Source organism: Homo sapiens, chromosome 4 (assembly GCF_000001405.40).
Source record: "Homo sapiens chromosome 4, GRCh38.p14 Primary Assembly".
Taxonomy (NCBI): Eukaryota; Metazoa; Chordata; class Mammalia; order Primates; family Hominidae; genus Homo; species Homo sapiens.
The window spans coordinates 111197096-111210471 of NC_000004.12; the positions used below are offsets into that span (position 1 = coordinate 111197096).

The window sequence follows — 13376 nt, forward strand, 5'->3', positions numbered from 1 at the left end:
CAAATTAAAACCACCTCACACCAGCCAGAGTGGCTTTTATTAAAAAGTTAAAAAACAACAGATGTTGGAGTAGATGTAGAGAAAAGGGAATACTCATACACTGTTGGTGGGAATGTAAATTAGCTTAACATCTATGGAAAACAGTATGGAGATATCTCAAAGAACTAAAAATATAACTACCATTTGACCCAGCAATTCCACTACAATTCCACTACTGGCTATCTACCCAAAGGAAAAAAATACTCATCAGACAAAAAAGACACCTGCACTTGTATGTTTATTGCAGCACTATTTATGATAGTAAATTCATGAAACCAACCTAAATGCCCACCAACAGCTGATTGGATGAAGAAAATGTGAGTATATATACATACATATATACACACACACATATACATACATATATACACACACACACACACACCATTGAATACTATGGAGCTATCCTATATATACTGTAATATAAAATACTATGTATACTATACTATACTATAAAAAAGAATGAAATTCTATCCTTTGCAGCAACATGGATGGAGATAGTCTATCTTAAGTGAACTAACACAGAAAATAAACTGTCACGTGTTCTTACTTATCAGTGGGAGTTAAACAAATAGTACACATGGACATTAAGATGGAAAGCATAGACTCTGGGGACTCCAAATGTAGTGGTAGGGGGCATTGACAAATTACCTACTTTGCACAATGTTCAATAATTGGGTGATGGGTACACAACATGCTCAACCCCCACTATTATGCTTATAATACCCATGTAAAAATAAGTAGCCTTAAATTTAAAATGAAATTTTAAAAGTAAAGTCTGAACTTAAATGAGATTGGAGCTGCTGCCTGAGATGGAATTTGCAGTTGGAATCCAATCAAATTAATTGCTTGCTAAAAGAAAAACATCAATGCTCTTTGGAGGACTATAATAAAATCTATAGATTTCATAACTTAACTTTTACAATGTCTGGAATACAACCCAAATTGCTCAACCTATGAAGAAACAAACAAAAAAATGTGACCCAGTCTCTAACAACTAAGACCCCTAAGATTACTGAGTTGTTAATATTAGAATATAGGTGGTAGGTAAATGGATATACACCTTCTTTCACCTTTGCCATGTATTTGTGAATAATCACACAAAAGTATGAAAAAAAAAGAGTCAGTGATGTTAGATCATATTTCATACCTTCCTCTTCTTTTCATTCTCCCATTCCACTTTCTCCATAAGTCATAGCTTCAGTTTCTTCATAGGTTCTACTTTAAATGTCTTACTGGACATCACATTTTACAATCTTTAGCACCACATATAGAACTTAGCATATAATAGACACTCAAAATATTTTTTTAACTTAAATACTGAGTATTAGAGTTCCATTAGATTTTCCTATAGAACAACACAGTTACAGTGTCTTATGAGTAAATGTGGTTTAATGATTTTTTTTTTTACCTCCATGAATGATTTGTAAACATGACTAATGGCACCAAACACCCTGATTTTAACCAAAGCCTATTTTTAGATGGCCCATTCCTCTTTGGCTAAAACACTGCCTCAGCTTTGAAAGCTAAGTCCCAGCTTATGTACTTAAGTTCCTTTTATTAGCTCCACATACTACTACACAAGCAAAGAGCACATGTGCTGTGCATTTTTTGTGTCATTAAATGCAATTTTCTTACAAGTATAAGCTCGATCCTGTGTCAAGAAAGGTACAACCTGAATTGATAACACTGATAAGATGCCACTACAGGTATTTGTTTTTTAAAATAGCCTTATCTTATTAAATATTCAGCTAAAAAATACATATGATGATTCTTTCATGTTGGAAGGTCTAGTTTATTCTTAACCCAAAACATTTTTAAATGGTGGTGTATTAGTCTGTTTTCATATTGCTATGAATAACTGCCTGAGACTGGGTAATTCATAAAGGAAAGAGGTTTAATTGACTCACACAGTTCAGCATGGCTAGGGAGGCCTCTGGAAACTTATAATCATGGCAGAAGGCAAAGGGGAAGCAAGGCACCTTCATCACAAGACAGCAGGAAGGAGATGTGTCAAGTGAAAGGGACAGAGCCCCTTATAAAAGCACCAGATCTCATGAGAACTCACTCACTATCATGAGAACAGTATATGGGAGATTGCCCCCATGATTTAGTTACCTCCACCTGGTCTCTCTCTTGACATGTGGGGATTATGGGGATTATAATTAAAGATGAGATTTTGGTGGAGACACAAAGCCTCACCATAAAGGTGGGGAGGAGCTTATGAAAAATTTAAAAAAATCATTCATACACTGAGAGACTAATAATAAAATTAAAATTAATTTTGTAATATTCTTAATGAACTAATTCAATGACTAATACTCCCAATGATATTAGATAGGTGTGATCTTTGTCATCAGACTTTCAAAAGAGCAAATTCATTAGGAATTAAACCATGACATGAAATTAATTTTAAATACCCTACATCCTGTCTAGAAAATTCACCTCACCAGTAGTAATTTAAATAAAATCCTGTTGTTTATCATAATTCCTTTCAGCAATAGAGCAACCTTGACAGATCCAATTTTGTAATGGACAATTTACTCTGGTTAGTAATTAGGTGAGTGGTTAAAACATTGTTTCTGTATAATAGGATACATTTCTTTTAAGTGGCCCCAGTATTATTGTCTTGGTCTAGTTCATGAATTAGCCTTTGTAATGTCCATAGACAGAACTTTTTAATAGATTATTTAGCCTCAGAAGATGTTTGATATGGTTTGAATGTTTGTTCTCTCCAAATCTCATGTTGAGAGATAATCCTCAGTTTTGGAGGTGGGGCTGGGTGGGAGGTGTTTGGATCATGGTGGGGATCGTTCATTAATGGCTTAGCACCATCTCCTTGGTGATGAGTGAATTCACATGAGATTTGGTTGTTTAAAAGCATGTGGAACCTGCCCCACTCTCTCTGGCTCCCTTTCTTGCCACGTGATTTGCCGGCTTCCCCCTTGCCTTCCGCCATGAACGTAAGCTTCCTGAGGCCCTTAACAGAAATAGATGTTGGCACTGTACTTTGTGTATAGGCTACAGAACCATGAGCCAATTAAACCTCTTTTCTTTATGTTACCCAGCCTCAGGTATTTCTTTATTGTAACACAAACACAGACTCATACAATATTCTAAGATTTTACAAAACAGCATTTTAAATTTCACTTTAGTATTCACATCATTCATTACTCACCTGAGAGCAGGGTAGAGTGTCAATGGAGAGTTTGTATCACAGCGCCACCATGGATCAGCTGACAAAGACCTTCAGCAATCACTTAACCTCTCGGCTTCTTTCTCTCCAGATATGTAAAATGGCAATAACTACCACATTGTGTCATTAATGATGAAATGACTGATGTAAAGCACTTAGAATGAAACCTGGCTTCCGATAAGTATTACATGTTAGTTAATGTAACTGTTTGTTCATATACTCATAGCCTGGTATTTAATTTCTTCTTTCCTCTGCCAACCCCCATCCCCACACCCACTACCTGCAAAAAAAATCACCTTAGTCAACTTATTGAATGGTAGACCTTATTAATAAACTAAAACTTTTGGTAAGGAATACATTAACTTCTTTTTTTCTGTAAAATTATAGTGGAATGTAAGTTTTTCCATAGGATAAGATTTAGACACATATAATAACTTATGAGATATTCAGCAAATAAATTTAATTTTTTTCTCAAGCCTTTACATTATATATAAAGTAATGTACTTAGGATGTATTTTAGACAGTATTTCAAATATTTACCTTGATTCAATATGTAAGATGGTAGAGGTATTTCTGAAAGGCAGTAGAAAATTGAAAAGTATTTAAATGCTCAGTTTTAGGGAGGAATTGCTAAAAATGTTAATGCAAGTTTCTTTCTGTATCTCCTAATCAGCTAATAAACTTAGCTAGAGGTTCAGTATGGTTTTACTTAGCTCAAATCTATAACATCTATGTAGCTTGAAATGTAGAATGCCAAACTTCTGGAAATAAGAGACATATTAGTTAAAAATCCTGAAGCTTCAATTCAACAGTCAACATATACTTTTAGGACTTTTCAGAGAGTATTGGTTTTCCCTACTGTGCTTACAGCTTCTGAGTTCACTGTGGTACTAACTCCTGAGTAAATATGATGGCCAACTAATGTAAGCTGTATTTTGTTTGCTTCTAATTTTCCTCGATATCTGCGTAAGAGTTAGTGTTATACGGCACATGGACTGCTGATATATTTTACAGGCAAACATGAGTTCCGGTGTAATTTAGGTAACTTTCTAGTTTTGGGTAAGTCATCATTTTCAAGTCTCAGTTTTCTCATTGGTGAAATAGAGATGCCTGTTTATGATTCTTTCCCCCTGGGACTATTGGGATAATGAAATAATGTGGTATATGTGAATGTTCTTGGTGAGCAGTGTTGTTATTTGAACTATCTTGACAATGACAGAATCATCAAAATGAAGACAATGAAGGATTCATAGAGATAGTACTCAATCTTTTCTCCAAATGATCACTTTGCCACTGCCTCTTTACAGATATAATTATTTCTAGATAAATAACATATAGTAGTTAAGTAATGATAAATATACAGGATGTTCAATGGGGTGACAAAATGACTGTGAGTTCAGACCTTTCTCACATCTAAGCAAAATTGCTAAGGGAAGTCAAAATGATATTTGGAAAACTGTGCTGTCTAAGTTTCCGGATTCATCTCTTGCTGCCCTCCCACAAGTGCTCTGCCTCATGTTTATACCCAAATGAGCTGTGCTCTTTTTTACCTCCTATCCTTACACATACTGTTTGCTCTGCCCAAAACATTATTATTTTTTCTCTCATGTACCTAGTGATCTTTTACTCATCCTTCAAAACTCTATTCATATTTACTTCATCCATCAAGTCATTCTGAACTTCCCCAGGTAGTTTTACACTTGCTTTATGTGTGTATCATAAGCCTATCATAGCTGGTACTTTTCACTCAGTTGGAAATGTAGCTTTGCATTCTTGTCCTTTACACTGGATTGTGAAGCTCCAGATGGCAGGGACAACATAGAAGTTAAAAGCACAGGTTCTAACATCACAGTGCATGAATTAAAATTGTAGCCCTACACCTACTAGCCATATGAGCATGGGCAAGCAAAGAAATCACTCATATGTAAATTAGGGTAACAATAATATGTACTTAGATAACCAGTGTATTCAGTAGACTAGATGAGTAAAACTCTTAGAACAATGTCTGGCACACATCTCAAACTCAATTAATGTTAGGTATTAAAATGATTCCATCTTTTTACTGAGAGAGCATTTCTAATAACTTGAGTGAATGAATAAGTGATTATAATGTCCACTTATGAGAGAAAATTCAGTTACTTTTAAAATATGACCTCTTATTGACATACTTGAAAAAATGTTAAACTATCTATTAAAATATAAAATTATTCAATGCATACAAAACAATGTGATTTTTGTGAAAAAAGGCATATATTAGGAGAAATAAGTTCTGCCTAGATGCATACGTATTTTGATTTGAGCAATAAACAAAGTGGAATAGAAAATACAATTTATTTAGCTTTTTAACAAATTTAAAGATTCACACCAAAACCATAAAAAATAAACAAGGAAAAATAACTGAGTTCTGAGTTGCCATGTCATTGAGGTCAACATTTGGTCATGGGAATGATACTGTTCTTGGAATTAATTTATAAACCTAATGTAAATTTCTTTCCAAATCTCTAGTGTTTTTCTAAAATTTTACAAATATTTATGAAGTTTCTATAGAAAAATAAATAGGTGCATTATAGGCAAAGCATTTTAAAAATAGGTGAATGGATGACTTTCTCTGTTGTATCTTATCAATTAATTAAAAAGTGACTCCAAAACATGTAAAGTCACTAACATTGATAAATCGTTATTTCCAAGACCAATGAAAAGATGGATTTTTAGATAAATGATCCTAGATTAATTGATTAAAAGCATAGTGAGAAAAAGAAACAGTCTTATAACATACTATAAAATAAATTGCAAGTTGATATAGAAGTAAATGTGAAGAAGAAATTTTTTTAAGTAGGAGAAAAATGGACATGACTTTGTTTTGGATCACGGGGTGAGGAAGGTCTTTCTAGGCATAAAAGTGAAAAGAAAAAAACAATCTATAAGATTGATAGATTAAATACATGAAAATTAAAAACACCTGCAATGATAATATACCCACTGGCCAAGAGCACTGATTTTGAGATAGGCACATCCGGGTTTAAAAAACCACTCTGCCATTTATTAGGTATGACCTTGCACAAGGTACTTAACCCAAAATGCTCAATTTTCTTATCTGTAAAATAGTCATTGTGATAATAGTAACAACTATTATCATTGTTATTATAATAATATAGCAACTACCACATAAGGCTTTTTGTGAATAATAAATAAAATAATGTTCTTTAAGCACTTAGCATAAACAGTGATAATACAAATGGAAAAACGAAATATTTATAATTATATAATATGCAAAGATTTAGCATCATTAATATATAAAGATTTCTTACACATTTACATTCAAAAGATGAATCAAGAGAGGAAAGATGTGAACATGTAATTCACACAATAAACAATAGATGCCAGAACTAGAGCTAGAGATCAAGGTTATCTTTAACTCTTAGGATCAAGAGGGATTCTTGGGTTTTGCATTTTTCAAATTGTCTGCAATAAACAATTTAATTTTATATTCAGACAAAAAAACTACAGAATTATGTATTTTATTTATTTAATTTACAGCACAAGAAAAGTATAAATGAATATGTTGACAGGTATTTTTTAGTTTTGAGGATCTACTTTTTCTTTACTTTGTATATTCCAGGGCTTGATCCTGGGTCTTGCATGCCTTCAGGAAATCAAGATGCCTTCAGAGAATTTCTACAGATTCCTAGAATGTTCTTACATGTCCTGGTTTTTGCTTATTACCTTTTGTCCTGAGACATTGGCTTTCTTGCAATATCTCTCACTACCTTGTAACTGCTCTTCCTTGTCCTGCTTCAACCAACCCTGAGAACATTAAGAGAAAGAAATAGAAGGAAGGGTAGAGGGGGTGTTAAAATAATTAATTGTCTAGTTTTTGATGAAGATATCAGCATACTATTCTCATTAGAATATTAAAACAGACTCCTGCGTGAAATACACATTATGTAACAATGTACAAGTTTCACATCCTAAAGCTCTATAGTAAGATGTTTAAACGTCATAAATGTAGTTTACTGATGTGAATCTGAGGAAGATTTTACAGACATATTTTAAGGGCAGACAGAATGAGATTAGGCTATGATAATTGAGACTACTATTTCAAATAGATTGCTATTCCTTATTTGTCTGTGCCTCTGCCTTTTTTATTGCTGTCTTCCTATGACCTTTAACTGGGAGACATATATAAAGATTGCACGCTAATGTCTCAACTGATTTCTTTCATTGTTATTGGTAACTTTTATACATAAGGTTCTTATTGTCCCTGTTGAAGGGAGAGGTAAAATCAATTTCCTCTTCAACATATTGATAAACAACTCCAGATATAAGAGGTAGGGAGGAGAAAGTAGATTTACCTTTGTGTGACCTACAAAGGAATGCTGGAAAAATTAATTCCAGAATATTATGTCAACATTCCTTGAAGTTGTGGGTATGATTTACATAGTAGGTCTTCTCCATCCACCCAGCTACTTTCATCTTGATACTGTAAATTGCTTTCATTTTCCCCCTCCGATCTGTGTGCTTGAGGTATTGTTGTGATAAATTATGGAGGTACAGAACTGAAAACGGTGTGTAGATTGTCTAAGAAATTGAGTGCAGTCAGCCTTAAAAGTGGTGGATGATGTGCTAAAGCAGCTACCTCACCCTGACCATGTCCCATATGTCGTCAATGAACAGCTGCTTTTAACTTTGCCTTTTGCCCAGAGCACAAGAGCTGCTGGATTTATTGAATTAATAACCACTCCATTATGTGTGTTTTGTTTTCCTGTGACCGTGAAATCTGGCTATAATGTTAGGAAAGTGTAAGACAGGTCTCCTTAACAAACAAGGCAGTACCTATTTTGGGGGTCATTAATTAATACTTAATCTTTTGGGTAGAAAATAATAGGGAAATCCTTTCAAATCTGGAATAGAATGCTGCTAACAATATTGAGTTAAAAAGGCATTTTATGGGTTACATAGATAGATAGAAGCTGGCTTTCACTATGATTTGTAGTCTGAAGCATAGCTACTGACTGCAATGTGTTTGTGATTGAATAGGGTTTTTTTTGAAACCTGTATTTTCTTTTTTAAAGTAGAATGTTTTATATATATATATACACACACACACACACACACACACACACACATATACACACACACGTATATACACCCACATATATATGTATATTTATATGTATATTCCCTAACAAACATCTAAATGCTTTCTGCAGGAAATGAGGGCAAAATCGTAGACTATCTTCCTTTTACACCCTGGATCATTTCCTGAAGAGGTTTGAATTCAACACGAAAGGCAGGATTTTAGCAGGGGTGGAATGCAGCACATGTGGAAAGGTTGTACCAACGACCCTTAAATTTTTTGAGCAAGAAGGTGAGAGATAAGTCTTCTATCAAGAAGTTTTAGTCTGGGCCATTTTGACTGACCTGGTTTCTTTTCTTCCTTTCTTTTCTCTCTCTCCCTTTCCTTCTTTCTTTCTTTCTTTCTTTTTCTTTTTCTTTCTTTCTTCTTTGTTTTTCTTTCTTTTCTTTCTCTCTTTCTTTTTCTCTCATTTTCTCTTTCTCTCATTCTTTTTTCTTTCTTGCCAACTCGCTATACATTGCTCATGTTTCTGCCCTAAATTCTAACCCTCCCATCAAGATTTCATAGAAAAAAATGCAGAAGGTAAATGAATACCCTTTTATCAGTTGTGTTTCAAGCTGTTGGTTATTTCCCTGTTGCTCCCAGCAATTGGCAGAAATAGTTGTCTTTTGAAGACTTAGAAAATAATAGTTTTGAAATTTATTCTGATTTGTTTCTTGAAAATAAAAGTAATAAAAACAATCAAGTTTATGATAAAAAGGGCCTAAAAGATTGACTATTTAAAGGCTTCATTTTCTATATGGGGGAAATAAGACTCAGAAAAGATTTTTAATTTGCCCAAGGTTATACAAATGATTGTAACCAATTTCTACTGATTCCCAGTTCAGTTCTATCTACCATGAAACTAAGGAGAAAGGCCTGGATGTTTTAATGAAACTCACTCTTCCCTTTGTTATTTGTTCTCAATACAGAATTATCCATAATTGTTAAACAATGAAATAAGACCTTTCTAGCATTCTCTTTTCAAATCATATTTTCAAGCTGGAATTGAAAACTATAGTGTATTAAAAGTGAATGGTTATAACAATACTTTTCAAAATATTATAAGACTCTGAAATGTTTCTGAATCATTTGAGTAAAGTTAAATTTTGTTTAGCAAAGTATATTTTATTATGTTTCAAAAATTGAGTAACACAACATAATTACTTAATAAATGCCTACTGTGAGTCAGGCACTGGCTCAGTTTCACCAATCTTCAAAACAACCCTCCATAACAGGAATCATAGGCCTCATTTTACAAACTAGAAAAATGAGGAAGTTTTAGCAATTTTAAGTCATAAAAATAAGTGATTGTACTGGGATTCAAATTCAGTTCCATCTTAGTTCAAAACCCAAGCTCCTTCTGTTATATCAGGTTATTTACATATATGTAAATTGTGTAATATATAAATTAGTACCCATACCCCAAATAAACAATAAAGCAGATAATTTACTGCATTTGCCTTTGAAATATACTCAAAGAACATCTGAGTGAATAGTCTCCCTTCCCTTTCATGTCGCCACCCTCCACAAACGCAGACAGCACACAGGCACACACATATTATCTCAAGTTATTATGTGCAACACAGTCTTGAATGACTTGAAAATGACCTTTATTATTGGTTAAAAATAGGAATGGATATTGCTTTTATTTCATAATTTTATTTATAATTTCTGAAACAATTTGAATCAATGACACTATTTCTGAATTATACTTTAAATTGAAAAATATGTATTCTAACCTATAAAAATTGGATTCAACTAAAAAAATTTACTGGCTTCCTGAATCAATATATTTATTGGTGATGACTTGCAAAAGAATATTAGAAAACAACAATTTTGGGAATTTGTAGGCTGGACGTTGTGGCTCACGCCTGTAATCCTAGCACTTTGGAAGGCCGGGGCAGGAGGATTGCTTGAGCCCGGGAGTTTGAAACCAACCTGGGCAACATAGAGAGACCCTGTCTCTAAAAAGTAAATTAAAAAAATAATCTGGGAATTTGTTTTGTTTATTTGAAGATTGTTGGTTGGATTAGAGTGACATATTGGGTCATCGTTTCTATTTCTAAGTTTAATATAAAAATGAAATAAATTATTTGCTATGGGAAAGGGATATTTTTGGAGGAGTCTAGTTATTTGTAGATCGACTGATTATTTGTTTGCCTGGGGCAATGCTGGCTTAACTTGTTCAGGAACTCATAGCTCTTAGTCTCCCTCTCAAGTGGTTCTAGTTTGAGTGATATTATACGCCCACCCGATTGAGAGAGCACTGTAGCACCACATGTTTTAAAGAAGGATTAACTAATTATGTTATAGGATGTTTTAACATCTCCAAGTGAAGGAAAAAGGCATAGTTCATTTTCTGTGTATATTAATATTTTCATATATCAATAACCTTGAAATTCCTTATATAATTATTTCCTTAAATTCCAAAGAATAGTGTTAATGTATTGTTTCTACAAACAATTTTACTCTAATTGTGTATAAGTTGCCTGGTGAAAATAGAACAGTAATAACCCTTCTATTGCCATCAATAAAATTAACTCTATCTGGTCTTGTTTTCAACTTTTTATCTATAAGAACAAAACTCATTGTTGATTTGAGATGGGACTCATAGGCCCATTTGTCAAAGAGACTTATTTTCTCACCAGTCTCTTACTTAAATAAGACAAATCTTTTTTCCAACACTTCACAGCAAAATCTAGCCCCTCCAAAACAGAACACCCGTCTCTACACCATTACACACATTTTACGCTAAAAATATCTCAAAGGACTATGATTCATTTTAAAAATTAGGTTGATTCACTTTAGAAAAATGAAATATATTATTTTTCTACCACATGAATAAGATGAAGCCTCTACTTCTAAATTCATTTTCAGCTAAATCTATCCCCATATAAACGAGAAATGCTGACCTTGGGTGTCCTTTTTGTTGGAGCTGGAACAATAATTGCACATGCATATTGATACCTGACATTGAAGGACAGATTCCGAAGATCCATTTATTGTAGACACAGCACTGGGATCTTTATTAAACATGTGGTGGTGGTGAGGCAATCTTAAACTGATATAACAAATTAAAAGAGACCGTATTCCTGTTTTCCAGTTCAGAAACTAGTCGCTAACTACTATTGTGCAGAGGAGGTAATGCGTTAGAGAGGAGAATGAAGATCAGTATACTAAAAACTTACAATCTGTTTATTAGAGAAATGTAAGTAAAAGTTTACTTTCTGTTCAAACCCTCTGACCTTTGTCCTTAGCTAAGCTACACATAAAACATCCATACGGCCCATAGAAACCCCTATCACACATCCTAGTAAGCTTTAAATATTTATTTATTTAAACTTACAAATAAATAAATTGAATGTGCTTATTTAGACAATTGTGGTTATGTTTAATGACAGGGGTGTTATTTTTATTTAAGTATCGCTTTAAATTAAATGAGACCCTTGTTGAAGCTCTTGAGCTGCTGTGTAAATGTACGTGACAGCGGACCAAGTCCTGCTTTACAATCCACACAGTGGCATGAAGGAGAGAATGTGAAAGTGTTCCTTCAATTGAGCTACATTCTAGAGAAGACAACTATTTAAATTTCATCTTTAAGATTTTTCATCGTATTCTAAATAAACAAATTGCCGTTACAGTGTAGACACAATTGCAATCTTCCCCATTCTTAAGTCAACAGACTGTGGCTGCATTCTGCGGTGGCTGAGTTACCTGGGTGGTCTTTAAGAATTGCCCCAGGAGGTAGGCACTGTCATAGTCTAATCCGGATGTTACAAAGGTATGTAAAATGGCATGTCTTGCGAGTTTCGTTTATGTGTTGTCTGGTCCTTCAGGTGGAAACAGGCATTCTTTAAAGCTTTTTTGGAACTTCTGTGGAATGAATGGGTTTGAAAACTATTAACATTGATTTTCTTAATAAAAATGTTGAAATGAGACCTGGAGCTTATGTTGAAATATGAAAATATGTACAAGGAAATTAACAAACGTTTAGAATTAAAGTTCAAGTCTGAAATATGTATGTTGAATCTGTATGGGACTTTTAACGTAAATTTTAAAAATTGTTTCTGCATCATACAACAATAGTTAATAAAATTAATTTTAATGTTTATTTTTTAGAATGTGGGGGACAATGAAATAATATCTTGTGTATATCATGACATCACCAATTATCTTGTGCTATCAATTCAGCAATATGTGAAATGGCGAGCTGATATTAATCTTTCCATGGAGATGGGAAGAAATGCTGTGCAGAGATGCATCTAAGACAGGGAGCTTTGGGCCAAAACAGAACTCCTCCCATATGGAACTCCCCAAAGGGAACTGACAGCACCTAGAAATGTGTATACTGATGCGACAATCCAGCACCTGTCCTGCTAACAGCCCTGAAGGAGCCAGTTTCAGTTAGTCCAGTAAATCAAAGTGGCATCTCTCCTAAGAGGTAACTGAAAAGGAAGCAGTCCAAACCACGCATTCCAATCCTTACTGGGCCACCTGGAATTTAAAGCTAAAGCACTGGCTTTTACTTAGAATGCATAAGGAGACTACCTCCCCAGCATGACCTTTTACTCATTTTAGAGAATTAAATAGAGCTTACCAAAGAGTAACCTTCTCTCTTTTTCATGCACCTGCACACATCCCAAATCAAGAGTGCTGAAACTAAATGATCTTTGAAAGCAAAGAAACAGCAACGACCTTTTGTGAGTAAGTCTTCCTGGAAAACAACTGGGAGGAGAGGTCTAGAATCAATGTCAAAAGGACTGATAATTTGAGAAAGCATTTAAAGATTCAAAGTTTATTTCAAATGGAGTCCCAAACTCCCATAGAAAAAAAATACTGAAATTAAATGAAAAATAGAATGTATTCTTGCCTTATGTATACGGATTGAGTGAAAAACCCATGCAGAGTAATTATTTGAGAGTTACTAAGATGAATATTCTAATAATTTCATTATAATGAGTTATCTTCAGTGAGAAATCCTGAGGAAGTGCGCTGATTAGAATTATTCAAGTAAGAAATCCA

General features: G+C 33.8%; 1 annotated feature.

The window, feature by feature from the left end:
* Window positions 11838-12339: an enhancer, noted in NCBI's record as "NANOG hESC enhancer chr4:112130089-112130590 (GRCh37/hg19 assembly coordinates)". NCBI's record gives its function as "activates a minimal SCP1, AML or CMV promoter by ChIP-STARR-seq in naive H9 embryonic stem cells {active_cell/tissue: H9 hESC(naive)}" and the evidence as "EXISTENCE:reporter gene assay evidence [ECO:0000049][PMID:30033119]".